This window comes from Homo sapiens, chromosome 22 (assembly GCF_000001405.40).
Source record: "Homo sapiens chromosome 22, GRCh38.p14 Primary Assembly".
NCBI lineage: Eukaryota > Metazoa > Chordata > Mammalia > Primates > Hominidae > Homo > Homo sapiens.
Genome location: NC_000022.11, coordinates 22,439,867 through 22,458,471, shown reverse-complemented (window position 1 = coordinate 22,458,471; position 18,605 = coordinate 22,439,867). Strand labels below are relative to the sequence as shown.

Genomic DNA, 18,605 nt, shown 5'->3' with positions numbered 1-18,605 from the left:
ACACAGACTCCACCTTTCTCTGCTAGTATCATGTCTAATGCTATTCTATTTTCCCAAACCATTTGGCTGGTGGGTCCTAACTGTTTAGCTATCCTTTTAATAGCATCTCTAGTATAGTTAACAAATCCTTGCTGGTTGTAATAGATGTAATTTATCCAATCTACATTTTTATTTACAGTCAACCACCAGAATAGTATGGACTCAAACCCTGCAACTATCTGATTTTGGGGCTTAGATTCATCTGGCACTCCTCTCTGGACTCCAATGACATCTATATAAGCATGAGAGTCAAAGGACCCATGAGGAGCATCTTTTGTTTTATGATGCTTTGTCTTTATCCTTTTTGGTTGACAAAATGTCAGAGTGAAAGGGATGGCCAATTAGATCAGAGTGCAAGTGCCACTCCAGTTACTTGGAAGTGTCTAGTAATGGTCCGCAGCAATACCACCATACATCTGCTCAGGGATGGATCAGGGCAGACTGATTGATCAGCTCTTGGAATGGCTTAAGCTCACTGCATCCCTTTAGGTCTCCAAGAAATGCTAAGTTTTCCCCTTGTCGTGAGAGACATGGGGTGAAACTTGCATCAGGAGACAGAAGCTGGATGGCCCTCAGGGGCTGACCCACAGGGTGCTGGACTTCAGGAAATAGCAGAGAGAGAGTTCAGCATAATTCATTACCCCAGGCTGTGGGGTGTTGGAAGACAGCTACCATACAGTTCATGCCTGGTTGGCTGGAGGACCTTCCAAGTGGAAAGGGGACAATCAGGGCCTCTGGCCTGCCATGTGCACAAGTGTAACAATTGCTTTTGTTTAGAGTGTGGACAGGAGATTTAATCCATTCCAGCCAGGCATTTGCGTCTTTGTACCCTGTCTCTAGAGCTGTAGTCTGCTTTAAATCTTTTACCTCCACAACCATTACCTTAGTTGGGTCATTCTGGAGATGAGAAGAGAATGCTGAGCCTGATATGTTTGGGGAGAGCATTGGCTCCCATAGGTTCCCTGGACTCTGGGTCTGGATTTCTTTATTGTTTTTAACTGATGGTCTAGCCAACCTCAGAAAGAAGATTCCTATGGGGTCCTGTCCTGTAACATCTGCTCCTAACCCATATCATTCGAATATGGAGGGTTCTTGGGTCATTGTTTGGGGATTATCTATAATTAGCAATAAGGGGTTACACTGCAATGACTTACAATTTGGTGGGGTGGTACCACGAATAAGTTGGAGTTTCTGTTTCAGTCCTCAGAATTGTTTGAAAAAGGGGGCCTGGCTGTCCACCCTCCATATTGGGTGGTCCACCAAACATCTGTCCAGTCACCACAGGGACTTTTTAAGGCTCTATACTTATACTTGGTTGACTCACTACGGTACGGACACAGATACTTATCTACATTTGATAGCTGCCTTTGAGCTCGTTCATCTCTACATGAGGTGACTGAACAAGCATCGAACTGGAGGGTTAAGGGACGATTAGTTTGAGGCACACTGATGATGAGGTGACTTTCTGTTGGAAAGAAAAGGGAAAATAAACAAATGATTATTCAGCCCTTTTTAATTTGGTGCGGGTGGGCCCTGGGGTGACGGCCCATTTTTCTCTCGCTGTGAAAATCACTCCTTTCACTTGTGTGTGGGGTGTCCATCCCCTTTCAGCTGTGCGGACAGCAATTTCTGTAGTTAGAAGCACTAGATAGTGTCCTTCCCAAGCCGGTTCGAGTTTTCCTTCTTTCCAGCTTTTGATGAGAATGTGATCCCAGGCTGATGCTGATGTGCTGGGAGCTCCAAGGGTGGTGTCAGTGCTAAAAGGTCTTTAGTTCTGAGGGAAGAGAAAGTGGAAGACAGACCAATTATATAGTTCTTGAGAAATTGATCTTTAGTTTCAAATGTAGGAATGTCAGCAGTGGAGTGTAAATAAGGCAACCCGTATAGCATTTCTTAAGGAGATAAGCCAATATCTTTCCGAGGGGCAGTTCGGACCCTCAATTAGGCAATAGGAAGGTAGTCGAGTCTCTAAAACTAGTTTGATTAGGTGGCTTTTTAGGATTTGGTTCATTCTTTCTACTCTTTCTGATAAAGGTGGGTGCCAGGGATATGGTATTCCCATCTTATTTGTAATACTTGGGCTAGCTTTTTAATGACATGTGCAGGGAAATAGTTTCCATTATCTGAATCAATATTTTCTATTAATCCAAACCTAGGTATAATATTTTCAGTTAATGTCTAAACTACATTACTGGTGGCTACACTTGAAAAGGGAATAGCTTCTACCCAGCGAGTAAGGTGATCCACTATTACTGGTAGATACTTTAGGTGACCTATTGAGGCCATTTTGGTGTAATCTATCTGGATGCTTTGGAATGGCCTTAATTTCCTGGGTTTCTTCCTCCAAAGGATGGTTTTCTTAGGGTTTGCTTATTAGTTTTTTTGCATATTAAACAACTATCTGTAGCTTGTTTTGCTAGAGTATAAATTCCTATACATCCATAGTCTCTAAGAACTGCATCACACATAGCTTGAGGTCTCCAGTGGGTTCCTTGATGCAGCTGAGATAAAACCTCCCTCATGAGAGGTTTGGATAGCATTTCTCTTTGATCTGGTAACACCCATTTCCCTTCTGAGTTTTCCTTGGTTCCTATTCTTATTAATTTCTCCTTTTCAGCAGGGGAGAAGATGGCAATGGCGGTTGGGGGAGAAAGGCAAGGGGTGAGGTGAAACATGGGCGTTTCAGAGGAAATGGCAGCTTGTTTGGCTATTTGGTCTGTGAGGTTATTCCCTCAGCTTTCAAAAGAAAGATTTTGGTTTTTTACTACCTCCCCAGGAGTTTTTAATTTGGGCTTGATTGGAGGAACTGTAATTTCCCCCAATTTTCTTCTTTTGACCATGTGTCAGGATGGATACGCTCTTCATCCGTGGTGGTGAGTAGGTTTAAGGAGATGAGAAATTTTCCCTGATTAATATAAAGGCCTAAGCCAAATTTTAGCATTAAATCTCTCCCTAATAGATATGTTCCTGCCTCTGGAATTAACAGAAATTTAATATTAGCTGATCTGCTTTTATATATGACTTTTGTTTCTTTTTCCCATTCAGGACATTCTCTTTTGAAGTGACCTATTTTTTCACATTTGAAACATTTGTTTCGTCCTCTTTCTCTCCCTCTGCCTCTCTTTCTCTCCCTCTCTGTCTGGGTCTCTGACTTTTCCTCACTGTCTCTCTGCCTCTCCATCTATCTGCCTCTCTGTCTCTCCCTCCCTCTCTCTCTTTCTGCCTTTGTATCTCCCCCCCTCTCTCCCTGGCTCCCTCCGTTCCCTCTGTCAGTCTTTCTCTCTCCTCTCCCTGCCCTCTTGTTCCCTCTATAGGCCGATATTTCCAGGTCTCTATTTTCTGTAATTTCTTCATGATATCTGGCCAACTATTAGTAACAAAATGGAGTTTTAACATCCCTGCCTAAGGGGATCCTTTATGTTTAAGCCTGCCTATTTTCTCATCTGTTCCTTGAGTCTGTTTAAAAACTCCATGGCTCCCTGGTCTTTTCCCTGCTGTATATTAAATGCTCAGGAAATATTTTGGGTTTGAGGCACTGATTCCTGAATCCCTTTAACTACCTTTTCCCTAAGGTCTTTCATGTTTTCTCAGTTGGCTGCATTGTTATTATCCCATTGGGGGTTTTGGGCCAGAAATTTTTGTTCTGCTGCAGGGGTATTTTGACTGGGAGGATATTTGCACTCCCAGGCTATCATAGTAGCCTTCTGTATCATGGTTCTTTCCTCCCCCGGAAAGAGAACACTTAAGATGGACATTAGCTCAGCCTAAGTGTATACTTGTGATCCTACAAATTGGTCAATTTGATCCACGACCCCAAAAGGATAATCTAATAGTGGTTTAAGTTCTTCCCTCAGGTTTCTGACCTCTGAACTAGTTAAGGGGACATTTACAAAGCCAACTCCCTCTCCTCCTAGAAACACTTCCCTTAAGGGAAAAACGATTGGGGCAGACTCTTTTGAGGAGGAGGGGAAAGGGAAGTTTTGAATATCCTTTTTACATTGCTCTATCTCACGTTGAAGCCTTCTTGCAGGAGGGCGTTCAGGTTGGGGACAGCCCTAACAGTCAGGATTATAAGGAGGGAGGGCATAATGTGAGCAGGGGAAGGGTCTGGGTGGCTGCTTGAGAGAAGTTAGGGGTATCTGGTGGAGGCAGATGGTCTAAGGGATCCCACATGGATTGCTCAGGGGTGGGGCCTTAGTTCCTACAGGGGAATTAGTTTCTGGCTTATCCTTACTAGTTTTAAGGGGGTAGAGGAGGACCGGCCCCTGCCACCAAGACACAGCAGAGTCTATTTCCTCTTGGGAAGCAGGACTTTTGTCATTTACATACTCTATTAAAAGTTGACAAATCCAACTCTCATTTGATCCAAACCTTGGCCAGAAAACTGAAGGTTTGAGAATAGGTTCTTTGGTCCAAATAAAACAATTCCCATATTTGATCATTTGTTGCTTTTTCTTGTGTTTAGTCCTTTCATTATCCCTCCAATATTTTAACATGAGACCTAGAAGGCTATCAGAGGGAATTGTGTTATCTCCTTTGCCCTTTGTAGTTCTTGTTTTACTAGGGTATTTCATATCCTGGAAGTTAATGGGGGCTCATATCTCTCATATTAGAGATTTCTTGCACTCCCGTCTTGGAGGTTAATGGGGGCTCAATCTCTCGTATTAAAGATTTCTTGCACCCTTTTCCCTGGAGGCTCAATCCCCGCTACTGGAGGTTTCTCGCTCTCCTTTCCCTGCTGAGTGTGCGTGGGGCTCAACCTCTCCTACTAGAGATTTCTTGCACCATTTCCCTGGGGCTCAACCTCTCTTACTAGAGATTTCTTGCACCCTTTACTTTACTCCACACTCACTTTGCACTTAATTGTGCATCTCATTCACACATTTTCAACCTGCAGAATGTCCTGACCACTAAGGAAGTACTTCACTGCCCTAGTGGTTTTTCTTACCTTTGTCTGTGCACAGTTACCTGGTCGCCACGGTAACTGTAGGCCTTTTCTTCCTGTGTTGCTGAGAGTCTGGGTTTATTTATCATGCTGGGTGGGTCCTGATTCCTTACCCCTGAGGCCACTGCAATGAAGCAGTGGGATGCATCTCCTCCTAAGAGGTGATCAGAGGCCCTTCCTCAGAGGAGAATGGGAATCCCAGATGACCCCCTATTTTGTTAGAAACAAGAGCTCAGAGTCGCAAGGAAAATGAGCACTCAGACAAAATATTTCTCAGCAAGGCAAACTTATTTCTACAGAAGAGTGCCGCTTGCACTTCTGACCACTGCAAGAGCACACCAAACAAAGGAGGGAAGGGGTTTTCATCCCTAACGTGGTTAGTCCCTGCTTCTGTGTCCTGTCCCCATTGGCTGGAGTTGGACCACACAATCTAAACTGACCTGATTGGCTACTGTTTAAAATTGAGTATGGCTAATTAGGTGGGAAGGGAGAGGCAGTCCATTATGGTACAAGGTATGTTTGGGCATGTCAGGGCGTGGCAAATGTGGGAAGGGTAGTTTTGTGGGAGGGGCAGTTTACAGAATGGGTAGCAAGGAGTAAAAGAGGACTCTTTCTAAATAAGGAGGAGATGTGAGTTACAGATTGGGACTGGTGGGAGAAGTTGTTTACAGAGCAGGTAGCTTAGGAGAAGGGACAAGGAAGTTCATCTCGAGAACAAAGAACAATGAAGTCAGAAATTAAACCTTTGAAGAGGTACTTACTGTGTCTGACAGATTCACTGGAAATACAGAGAATTCTGGAAATACAGAGAAATACAGATTCTCCTGGAAAGGAGAAGAAGAAGGTGCTGGCTGAGGTGAAAAAACAGAATCAATCAACTTCGGGCTTCTTCAGTTCTAAGCATATCTGAGAGGTTCAAGAAAGAGATAAAAGTATGAGTGTCAACTTCAAGGACAGATGCAGAAAAAATGCCAATGAGTTTCCTGTTATAAAGCCCTTGATAATTAACTCAAGAGATTAGAGGGGAGAAGTGGGTGGTAGCAAAGGGAAAGAGAACAAAGAAGGGAATTCAGGAATCAGAGATGTGGAAGGGGAGAGGGTAAGGATGGGCCACATTATAGGAAAGGCTGAAGGAGGAGCCAGTAAGAGTGTTGGACAGGAGCCAGAGGGAAGGTCAGGTTTGTTGTTTGTTTGCTTTTGTTTTTGCTCTCAAAGAAAGGGGAGCCTTTCCTAGCTTTGCAGCTGTCCTCCCTGGTCATCTCCCTCCATGGAGTGTGGGGTTCTTCTATCATGCAAGCTGGTAAATTCCCTATGTCAGAGATTTCTCCTAGGTTCTTGCCTGCCAAGGATTCTCCTTATTTGATACTAGTCTTATGGATATGTTGTCGTTTTTCTTATTATTATTAGAGACAAGGTCTCACTCTGTTACCCAGGCTCAAGTGCAGTGGCATGATCATAGCTCACTGCAGGTTTGAACTCCTGGGCTGAAGCTCTCCTCCTGCCTCAGCCTCCTTAGTACTTAGGGCTACAAGCATACAGCACTATGCCTGGCTAATTCATTTTTTATTATTTAAAAAAAACTATAGAGAAAATATCTTGCTATGTTGCTCTTGGCTGGTTTCAAACTCCTGGCTTCGAGTAATCTTTTTGCCTCAGCTTCCCAAAGTGCTAAGATTACACATATGAGCCTCCACTGCTGGCTGGACTTGTTATTATTCAAATATATATGTGGATTTTGTGTGGCAGGCACATGTGAGAAATGCAGAGATTGTGTCCTCACTCCAGACCCACTGAATAAGAATCTGCATTTTATAAAATCCCCAGATAATTTGTATGCACAATAGAGTTTGGGAAGTACTGTTCTAACACATGCATGGAGACATTGACGTAGTTTTCAATATAAGTTGTTCCTCGTACCTGAATCTATTATGCTCCAGCAAACATGAGCAGGAAATTCTTGTTTCTCTATTTTCTGCATTGTGAAGTCAGGCATAATGTACTCAAGGCTTTCCATAGAAAATTGCAGGCATTTTGTTTGACTTCACTAAATCCACAGAGAAGACCAGGAGCATTTTAATAATAGCCCAATGTCACATCTTTGTCTGACAAGCAATTTGAATTACCCCAAATTATAATTTTTCATTGGTATTCAAATAAAAATAAAATTAGCAACTACTCAAATATTTTACCCTTTCAAATAAATGGAAAACTACTTACATTAACATTAAATGACAGAGCAAAAAGCTGTATAAAACCAGAGGAATGAGCACAAGGTTTGATAACCATTGTGAAAATATTGACAACAAAAATGAGAGAATGCATCCAAATGAAGAAATGTACTTCTATTGATTATCTGGGATAAGGTAGCTTTGCAGAGAACTTGGTGATTTTTAATACTTTCTGATTCCACATAATAGGCATGTATTGCTTTGAAAGTAACTCAATAAAACAAACTTTAGAAATATACAAAAGTAGAGTTTCTTCTCTTTACTCTTAGCTCAGAAACCCCATACTTTGAAGATGCTTCTTTCTGGAGGAAATGCATTTAGCCTCAGCCTTTAGATCTGATCCAGCTGTTAGTGCTCCTTTTAGAATACAAAGCAATAAACTTCTGATTTTTTTTTTGATCCAGTTCTTCCCAGATCATTCTCACATTTCCTTCACTTCAGGGCTTAAGCAGGGATAGGAATCAATTCAGATCCTTTCCTTCCCCTTTCTATGGCTGGTCCACATGTAGGCTGCCTTGAGAGCTGGTGTGCGTGATCATATGATCTTCATATCACAAGGGCCTAGAGAGGTTTATGTCTCGGTTCCTCTTCTGAGTCTGTCACTGTGCCAAGCACGACTATGGTGCAGTAAGCAGTAGTACTCAGCTTCACCTCTCGGGCTGCACACCCAAGAGTGTCTGGGCAGCTTTGCTCCCAAGGACTGAGCCTGAGAACTGGGCAGGGGTCCAGGAGTGTTTGTTGCTTGCATGATAAATCAGTGTCCTGGGGGCTTGGCCAAGCTTCTGCTGGAACCAGTAAGGATAATGACCCCCATTGACTGCTCCAGTGCTGGAGCCATAGGTGAGAGTGACTGTCCCTCCTGGGGACACAGTCAGTGAGGGTTCCTGAGTCATCACAGCCTGAGAATTTGACCCTGAAACAAAAAACAGACACATGTTGGGAATTAGAAAGGGAGACACAGGAATCCCTCCAAAGGCTGGTATTTGAAATCTCTATTAACCTGGGCAGCAAGTGAGGAGGTACATGGGGAGAAGGAGAAGGAGAGGAGTCCAGGCCATGATGCTGATATTAGAAGGGACTCCTGGCTCCAGAGTCGGGGCTGGATTCTGATGGCTCTTTATGTCCTACTGAGCTCCCTATGTGGAGAGGGTGTGTTGTGTGGTACTTTATGCAAATCTTTACTACTTTTAGAACCACTCAGGTTCTTAGCCCTGAGGGCATCTACACTGTGAAGGGCCAGACCAGGGTGACTGTGTGCTGTGGATTTGCTGAGTGGGAGGAAGCAACTGCTCTAGCATTTTACATGAACCAGTGAGCAACTGTGCAGGGTTTATTAAGTTTGAACCTCTTGAGCTTCTTAAGATGCAGAAGACTCAGACTGCCCTGTGATGGCTTTCCTGGACTGAGAATGCCTGGCCTTTCACTTATTTAACAAAATAACAATTGATTTATCTTTTTGACATTACCATGGTATTTCCGAGGCCAATTCACACCCATTACTTGTCTATTCTTTGCTCATTCCTATTTGCACTACTTTTTCTTGCCATTGCTGAAATCCTGTCCCTGTGACTATAATTCAATTTTTGTATTACATGGTGTTAATTTTTATCTGAATGGTTTGAATGACTGAAGAAATTGTTTTAATGACCTACTGACTTTTTGAAACTGTTTATATTGAGCCTCATATTGGATAAACAGCTGTCTTAAGTGAGAATTTTAATAATAATTTACTTCAGAGAATTTTTAAAAAGAAAATAACCAAAGATTGAAGGTTTAAGTTTTATTGTTAATTCAATGGAAACTGAAGTGAGCCTTGAGGATGATCCACAAGGTCTACATAATAACCCCACTCTCACCCAGACCACCCCTTAAAAGCCCTCTGGACACCAAGCTTGGGTGAGCTTTCCTGGTTGGCTCACCCAGGAAATAGGTGTTTCATACACAGAATCACACATTGCTGTGAGCAAAATGAAGCACTGTCTATTTCTCCACTGGGAGAGGACAACTGGGTGCTTGTGCTTGGAATTCTCCTGAACTCTGCCCATGTGCCTCTTCCCTTGAATTATCTTAATCTGTATTATTTTGCTGTAAAAATTTGTATCAATAAATGTCACAGGTTTCAGGGAGTTATGTGAGTTTTTCTAGGGAATCATAAGAAGTGAAGGGCTGTTGGGGAGCCCTTAGGTTACAATTAGCGTCAGAATTGAGAGTACTCTTGGGAATCCTCAGACCTCACAGGTTCCAATCTCACATTATTCTTTTTTTTTTAACTTCAAAGAAAGCTTTAATTTGGGAAGAGTTTCTCATTTTGTTAAAGCTGCAAACAGACTTCTTATACAATTACACTTCTAGAAGTCTAGTAGTTTCAGAGATCTCAGTGTTCAAAGGTATATTTCCAAATCAGTAATAGAACCAAACCCACAGCAAAAGGAAATCACTTTTAGATTGGTTTGGAATGTACAACCATTGATTTTAGGTGTTCTCAGAAACAGCTTCACCACTTCTTTGGAAAACAGGTGGCATGGAGTCAGTGTCCACAGAAGAAAATGTCTTTAAATATGTTAGTTACCTGGACAAGATTATTCACTCCTTAGAAAATACAGTAAGATTACAAGTCCCAGCTGGCAAGGTATGTAGTACAGCATCAGTTTTACAGAGGGATTATGAGATCTTGGGATGAGCGGTTGTTGGCTTATGGCAAAGAATATAAGAGCAGTCACTGGAAGTGGAAGAAGAATGATGATGAGCAGGGCATCTCTCACAGTCCTACTCAGCCTTTTAACTTGGTAAATGGATAGGCTATGTTCTGTAGCATCTTTGGGAGAACATTTAAGACAGTTCAAAAACAATAACAACAACAAAAGCCACCCAATATTATTCCCCAGAAAGTCCATATCTGAAAAGAAAGAAGGACCTGTTCAGGGTTCCCATGGAGGACTGTGCCCCCATCCTCTTTTGTCTCCAGAAAATACAAGACATCAGCCAGAGTGTGCTCTACCACAGCATCCCAGCCCATGTCACTCACAGGGCAGTAAGTGAGATTCTTTGGAGGATACTTGGAGCACAGTCCAAAGTTAATGGAAACTATGAAGCTCTTGTCCAGTGAGATGGCTAAAAGTAACCCCCTAAAAATATCTTTTGAAGCCACATCTTGATTGACACCATGTTTATAAAATATTATTTTACTATATGGAATCTGTTTTAGACTCTTCCCTGCTTTAGCCACAAAGTCTTTTTCCACAAAATAAAAATAATTGTTGAACTTTATCAAAGCCTTATCTTGGTAACTTGGCTGTCTCTTGGGTTTTCAGGAAGATTAATATAAAATCGTAGGATGTCTCCCTGCCCATAGCTAAAACAGTAGTGTTCGCCAGTGGACTGGTGGAAATTGATTCCCTTTTGCTCTGCCAATAATAACTAAATTTATCATAACCTAAGGGAGCTTCATAGTTACCTTAGGGCTGAGATCAACCCAGTCTGGCAGTGGTGTCTGGTGGCATCTCATTCATGGTGATTTCAAAGTACCAGGACCCTTTCCGTATCCCATGAGAGGTCTGCACCATAAAGTAGACCTTCTTTCCAACCACAGTCAGCCAGCCAGTCACTGGAGATCTCTAACTGGGGAGCTTAATCATGTTGATCTAACAAAACCTGTTCATAGAAGCAGTCACTGTAGAGGTCTCCAGGAATAGGTTTTCCTGCCCAGCAGTTAATTTCAAGCTTCTGAGGACCAACCGTGTGAGGATCAGGCTAAGTTAGACTATACCAGTAGCCGTCTTCATTAAATGTGTGATCCAAGGGGTGTGAGGAGGACAGCCCTGAGCGGAAAACAAAAAGTCACTCTGGGCCTTCTTGGTGGTCCCTGTGGTCTCCCCATCCTTCTGTTTGCACTGAGCTCCTCTTCCTTTTTTCTGCTGTTCCTGCTGCAGTTTCCTGACTCAGATTCCCACTGTAGACACAGCACTGCTTTGTTTTTGGTTGTCGTAAACAGGGTCAATGTTACCAAGTCCTGATCCAAAAGTCCAAATCTGCGGTAGTCTTCTTTCCGGTCTTTATACCCTGGATCCAGGTGTTCCTTTACCAAGAGCACATCTCTTTTTTTACTCATTGTTTTAACAATGTTATTCAGCCAAGTCATTTTCCCAGGTGTCTGAATGGTCATCATGCACTCCCAGTATTTATCAATAAATAGTATAATATCTTTATCTTTGGAGAACCTTGTCTTTGGATATTCATTCAGTGTTCAGGACTGCCATGCCAGTTTGACCAAAGCACTAAGGGAAACTTCCTTCATGTTTGCTTGCTGCTGGATAAAATATGCCACTCTGATGGCATACTTTGCAATAAAAATTGTAGTTGATCATGACAGGTAGACAGGATGAGATTCTGTGCTAAATGTATCAACTGTGAACCATTTTGCACAAGAGCAGATGCCCCACTCCAGCTGGAGAGGCTGTTACTGCTGCCATCAGTTTCATCTCCCCCTTTTTGGCAGCTGCTGCATTTGCGGCTGCTCCTGGGCTGGGTCAGACACCCACCACTTACATCATGGTCACTCCCAGACTTTCTCACATTACTTTGAGTCACCAGTAATGAGGCGCTTCCAACTCTATTGGCCTCTTAGGAAGCTGCAGGCTGGCATAAAAGGAAGGGTGTCCTAATACTCAGGCACACTCTCCCAATCCTGTATGTTTTGATTGTTCTTGGTAGAGAAACTACACTGAATATAAATCTTCCTCTTTTGTACAGTGGTAAATTATTCAAATGCAAAATTCATTATTTTAACCATTTTCAAGTGTATACTTCAGTGTCATTAAGTAAATTAACACTGTTGTACAACCACAGTACCACCATTTATCTCCAGAAATTTTTCATCTTCCCAAACCAAAACTTAACACCTGGAAAACTTCATTCTACTTCTTGTCTGTATGGATTTGACTACTCTAGATACCTCATATAAGGGCAAGCAAACAATATTTGTCCTTTTGAAGCCAGCTTATTTCTGCTGGCGTGATGTCTTTAAGGTTCATCAATGCCATCGCATGAGTCAGAACTTTTTTTTTTTAATTTATTATTATTATACTTTAAGTTTTAAGGTACATGTGCACAATGTTCAGGTTAGTTACATATGTATACATGTGCCATGCTGGTGCGCTGCACCCACTAACTCGTCATCTAGCATTAGGTATATCTCCCAATGCTATCCCTATCCCCTACCCCCACCCCACAACAGTCCCCAGAGTGTGATGTTCCCCTTCCTGTGTCCATGTGTTCTCATTGTTCAGTTCCCACCTATGAGTGAGAATATGCGGCATTTGGTTTTTTGTTCTTGCAATAGTTTACTGAGACTGTAAACTAGTTCAACCATTGTGGAAGTCAGTGTGGCAATTCCTCAGGGATCTAGAACTAGAAATACCATTTGACCCAGCCATCCCATTACTGGGTATATACCCAAAGGACTATAAATCATGCTGCTATAAAGACACATGCACACGTATGTTTATTGCGGCATTATTCAGAATAGCAGAACTTTCTTTTTAAGGTTGAATACTATTCCCTTGTGTGTGTATACTGTATCCCGTTTATCCATTAGATGACACTTGAGCTGCCTCCACCTTTTAGCTATTGTGAACGACGCTGCTATGAACAAGGGTGTACAATTTTCTCTTTGAGATCCTGCTTTCAATTATTTGAGGCACATACCCAGAACTGAAAATTCCGATAAAATGGCAATTCTACGTTTAATTTTTTTGGGGAAATGCCATAAGACCTCCACAATGGGTGCATCATTTTATAGTCCCTCCAGCAATGCATAACAGTTATAATTTCTATACGTCTTTGCTAGATCTTGTTATTTTCTATTATTTTGGTAATGCCATCCTAATGGGTGTGGAGTTGTATATTATTGTGGTTTGATTTTCACTGGCCTAATGATTAGTGATGCTGAACATCTTTCCATGTGCTTATTGCCCATTTGTAGATCTTCTTTGGAGTCTACTCAATACGAACTCAAGTTTTTTGCCCATATAATTCAGATTGTTTTCATTTTTGTAGTTACTCTTGAGTGGTAGGAGTTCTTTCTATAGTCTGCATCTCTTATCAGATGCAAAATTTGCGACAATCTTTCCTATTCTATGATTCAAATGTTTGCTCGGTTGATAGTGTCCTTTGATGCCCATAAGTTTTACAATTTGATAAAATCCAATTTATCTATATTCTTCTTTTTCTATTTTTTTCTGTGCCTTTGGTGTCATATTAACGAAGTCATTTCCAAACCCTATATTATGAACCTTCTCCCTAATGTTTTCTTTTAAGATTTTGACAGTTTTGGCTCTTCCATTTGGGTCTTTCATCCATTTCCAGATTGCTGGTGAATATCCAGTTTTCTCAACAGTATTTGTGAAAAAGACTGTCCTTTTCCACTAAATGGTCTTGACAACTTTGTTTAAAATTATTTGACTGTATAACTAAGAGGTTTTTTTAGGCACTCAGTTCTGTTTTATTTGTCAGTATGTCTGTCTATATGTACCACTCTGCTTTGATTAGTGTAGCTTTGTAGTATGTTTTGAAATCGGTGTGAAATCTCCAACACTGTTCTTCTTTTACAAGATGATTTTGACTATTTAGATTCTCTCAATATTATATATAAATTTTAGGATTAATTTTTTTCTATTCTTTTTGTTTGTTTGTTTGGCTTGCACTTTTTAAAAAATATATACTTTAAGTTCTGGGATATATGTGCAGACCGTGCAGGTTTGTTACCTAGGTATACACGTGCCATGGTGATTTGCTGTACCTGTCAACCCATCATCTACATTAGGTATTTCTCCTAACGCTATCCCTCCCCTAGCTCCCATCCCCAAGAGGCCCCGGTGTGTGATGTTACCCTCCCTGTGTCCATGTGTTCTCATTGTTCAACTCCCACTTATAAGTGAGAACATGCAGTGTTTGGTTTTCTGTTCCTGTGTTAGTTTGCTGAGAATGATGGTTTCCAGCTTCAGCCATGTCCCTGCAAAGGACATGAACCCATCCCTTTTTATGGCTGCATAGTATTCCGTGGTGTACATGTGCCCCATTTTCTTTATCCAGTCTATCCTTGATGGGCATTTGGGTTGGTTCCAAGTCTTTTCTATTGTGACTAGTGCTGCAACAAACATACATGTGCATGTGTCTTTATAGTAGAATGATTTATAATCCTTTGGGTATATACCCAGTAATGGGATTGCTGGGTCAAATGGTATATCTGGTTCTAGATCCTTGAGGAATCATCACACCGTCTTCCACAATGGTTGAACTAATTTACACTCCCACCAACAGTGTAAAAGCATTCCTATTTCTCCACATCTTCTCTAGCATCTTTTGTTTCCTGACTTTTTAATGATCTCCATACTAACTTGGAATTTTGATAGAGAATGCAATGAATCTGTAGATTCCTTTTGGTTTGTATGCCTAGCTTAACAATATTGAGTTTTCCAATAAATGAACAAAGGATTTCTTTCCATTTATTTGTGTATTAATTTCTTTTTGCAATGTTTTATAGTTTTCAATGTACAAGTCTTTCACCATTTTGATTAATATTATTCTTAAGTATTTTACTCGTTTATCTTTATTTATTTGTTTATTTGAGACATTGTCTCACTCTGTTACCCAGGCTGGAGTACAGTGGCAGGATCTTGGCTCATTGCAACCTCTGCCTACCATACTCGAGTGATTCTTGTGCCTCAACCCCGAGCAGGTGGGATTACAGACATGTGCCACCACACCTAGCTAATTTTAAATTTTATTTATTTATTTATTTATTTATTTATTTATTTATTTATTTATTTATTTTAGTAGAGACAGGGTTTCACCATATTGACCAGGCTACTCTTGAACTTCTAATCTCAGGTGATACCCCCAAATCAACCTCCCAAAATGCTGGGATTACAGGCATGAGCCACCGTGCCCAGCCGTATTTTACTCTTTCGAATGATGTTGTAATTTGATTTCTTTTCTTAATTTCATTTTGAGTTGTTTCCTGTTTGCTTATTTAAGTATAGAATTATAACAGATTTTCTTTCTTTCTTTCTTTTTCTTTCCTTTCTTTCTTTCTTTCTCTCTCTTTCTTTTTCTTTCTTTCTTTTCTCTCTCTTTCTCTCTCTTTCTCTCTTCCCCCCACCCCCCACCGCTTTCTTAGAGACAGAGCCTTGCTTTCTTTCCCAGGCTGTTCTTGAACTCTTGAACCCAAGAAATCCTCCCACCTCAACCTCTCAAAGTGCTGGGATTACAGGCATGAGTCACCATGCCTAGCCATGAGATGTTTTTACAAGGTGATTATGTATTATAAAACATTACTGAATACATTTAATCATTCTAATAATTTTTTGTGGGACTTTTAAGGGCATTTTACATATGACATTATGTCATCTGAAAACAGAGATTTTATTTTTTATTTCTAATTTTTATTCTGTTTATTTCTTTTTCTTGCCTAATTACTCTTGCCAGGTCTTCCAATACTGCTTTTAATAGAACTGGTGAAAGTGTGCATTATTGCTTTGTTCCTGATATTACAAAAACCTCTTTGGTCTTTCAGATTGCATATGATGTTAGCTGTGGGATTTTCTTTTTTTTTTTTTTTGTTATTTATTTATTTATTTATTTATTTTTTATTGATCATTCTTGGGTGTTTCTCGCAGAGGGGGATTTGGCAGGGTCATAGGACAATAGTGGAGGGAAGGTCAGCAGATAAACAAGTGAACAAAGGTCTCTGGCTTTCCTAGGCCGAGGACCCTGTGGCCTTCCGCAGTGTTTGTGTCCCTGGGTACTTGAGATTAGGGAGTGGTGATGACTCTTAACGAGCATGCTGCCTTCAAGCATCTGTTTAACAAAGCACATCTTGCACTGCCCTTAATCCATTTAACCCTGAGTGGACACAGCACATGTTTCAGAGAGCACAGGGTTGGGGGTAAGGTCATAGATCAACAGCATCCCAAGGCAGAAGAATTTTTCTTAGTACACAACAAAATGAAGTCTCCCATGTCTACTTTCTACACAGACACAGCAACAATCTGATTTCTCTATCTTTTCTCCACCTTTCCCCCTTTTCTATTCCACAAAACCGCCATTGTCATCATGGCCCGTTCTCAATGAGCTGTTGGGTACACCTCCCAGACGGGGTGGTGGCCAGGCAGAGGGGCTCCTCACTTCCCAGAAGGGGCGGCCAGGCAGAGGCGCCCCCCCACCTCCCTCCCGGACGGGGTGGCTGGCCGGGCAGGGGGCTGACCCCCCACCTCCCTCCCGGACGGGGCGGCTGGCTGGGCGGGGGCTGGCCCCCCACCTCCCTCCCGGACGGGGCGGCTGCTGGGCGGAGATGCTCCTCACTTCCCAGAAGGGGTGGCTGCCGGGCGGAGGGGCTCCTCACTTCTCAGACGGGGTGGCCGGGCAGAGACGCTCCTCACCTCCCAGACGGGGTCGCGGCCGGGCAGAGGCGCTCCTCACATCTCAGACGGGGCGGTGGGGCAGAGGCGCTCTGCACATCTCAGACGATGGGCTGCCGGGCAGAGACACTCCTCACTTCTTAGATGGGATGGCGGCCGGGAAGAGGCGCTCCTAACTTCCCAGACTGGGCAGCCGGGCAGAGGGGCTCCTCACATCCCAGACGATGGGCGGCCAGGCAGAGACGCTCCTCACTTCCCAGACGGGGTGGCGGCCGGGCAGAGGCTGTACTCTCGGCACTTTGGGAGGCCAAGGCAGGCGGCTGGGAGGTGGAGGTTGTAGCTAGACGAGATCACGCCACTGCACTCCAGCCTGGGCAACATTGAGCACTGAGTGAACGAGACTCCGTCTGCAATCCCGGCACCTCGGGAGGCCGAGGCTGGCGGATCACTCGAGGTTAGGAGCTGGAGACCAGCCCGGCCAACACTAGCTGTGGGATTTTCATAGATGGTCTTTACTGTGTTGAGGTAGTTTCATTCTATTCATAGTTCATTGGGTGTTTTTACCATGAAAGGGCGTGGAGTTTTGTGAAATGATTTTCTGTAGCCAGGGTCTTACTGCATTACATTTGGAAGAGACACTCTGCTCTATACCCACCCAGACCTGCTCCACTATATACCTGGTGTTAGAGAGGAATAAATACCTTGTGTTCACCAGGGTCCAGGGGCCACTCAACCAGACCTACAGTAGAGGTCACCTGTGTGAAGGGGTGGGGGAGCTGAAGAGGCCCTCTTGGGTACAACTGTGGACTCTGCTTCAAGTCATAGTAGCTGTAGATGTAGACTTCTTTGTAGATGTTGACTGGGATGGAACCATCCCTGCCACTCTGGACTCAGACATGGGCAAGGGGTCCAGGGAAAACAGAGGCATGGACCAGAATCAGAAGCAATAAGGTGAGGGGACTAGGCTCAGGTTCCTGTGAGTAGTTTGGGATGACTGTTATAGCAAGTCACCCCATTTGCCCCAGAGTTGGTGGTTGTGTTGAAGAGTCTCTCAAGGAAGCCAGTTTCTCCCTCACTCTGACCACCTCCTGCTGATGGCCCTTCCTGTAGATTGATCAGGAATGAATCCTTCATAACTCCCAAATTTAGGAGACCAGCTAGACTTCTATGGATGGCCCCAGAGTTTCCATTAATGAGTTTTAGATGAAAGGAAAGGGTGTGCAATGCTTTCTTTATGCAAACCAGCCTGTCTCCCTCTTCTTGTCTCCTAGCCCCTTCATAGAACCTCAGTCCAGACAGTCACCGGAATACATTTCCCAGGTGGGGTGGAGAAAGCCAGGTTGGCTGAATCTGGTTCCCTGTGAGGACACAGCTGCTGAGCCCAGTGAGCAGTGAACAGATGATGGCTTCCCAGCTGTCATTATCTGCAGCCCCTCAAGGACAAGCCTATAGCACCCAGTGCTGCCCCAGTCTCAGACCTATTGAGCCCTTCAGTTTCTCCCTGCCTTTGTCTATTTTCTTCTTCACCAAAGTTATGACTATGAGGGCCCCTCTTAAGCTGCAGTTGTATTTATTGCTCTGCAAAGAATTCCTGTACCATGACATACCTGTCTGGTCCATGCTGCTGTTTTTAGCAATGTCCTGGGATCTTGGTCTCACTGAGGGAGATTCTCTGATAGACATCAGAGTAGGGAGTCCAGTTTGGTAAAGGGGAAGCCACCAGAAATGCACGCCTGTGAGCAGAGTTGCCTCCTTCTTCCCCACTCAAGAGTGTGGCCCCTTTTCAGGCTGCCAAGTCTTGTCCTGGAATCTCTGGGCTGTCAGGGTGGGTCTCCTCCTACTCTCAGCCCACCCACCTTCAGCATCAAAAGGACCCTGGAGTTTTCTCACTGGACAGAAGGAGAGCCATAAGAGCCATACTGAGCTCTTCTGTCTCTTACATGTTGCTTATGCACCCCTGGCTTAAACCTCACTGTG

General features: G+C 43.0%; 2 pseudogenes and 1 further gene; all 3 read right to left on the bottom strand.

Annotated features, from left to right (window-relative positions):
- The window catches only part of IGL (immunoglobulin lambda locus), an 896,838-nt gene that overhangs the window by 464,442 nt on the left and 413,791 nt on the right, over positions 1-18,605 (bottom strand).
- IGLV7-35 (immunoglobulin lambda variable 7-35 (pseudogene)) lies at positions 7,820-8,114 on the bottom strand (annotated as a pseudogene). Its single transcript is given in 1 exon segment — positions 7,820-8,114. A coding segment is annotated over 1 exon segment (295 nt).
- On the bottom strand, positions 9,465-11,636 carry ASH2LP4 (ASH2L pseudogene 4; annotated as a pseudogene).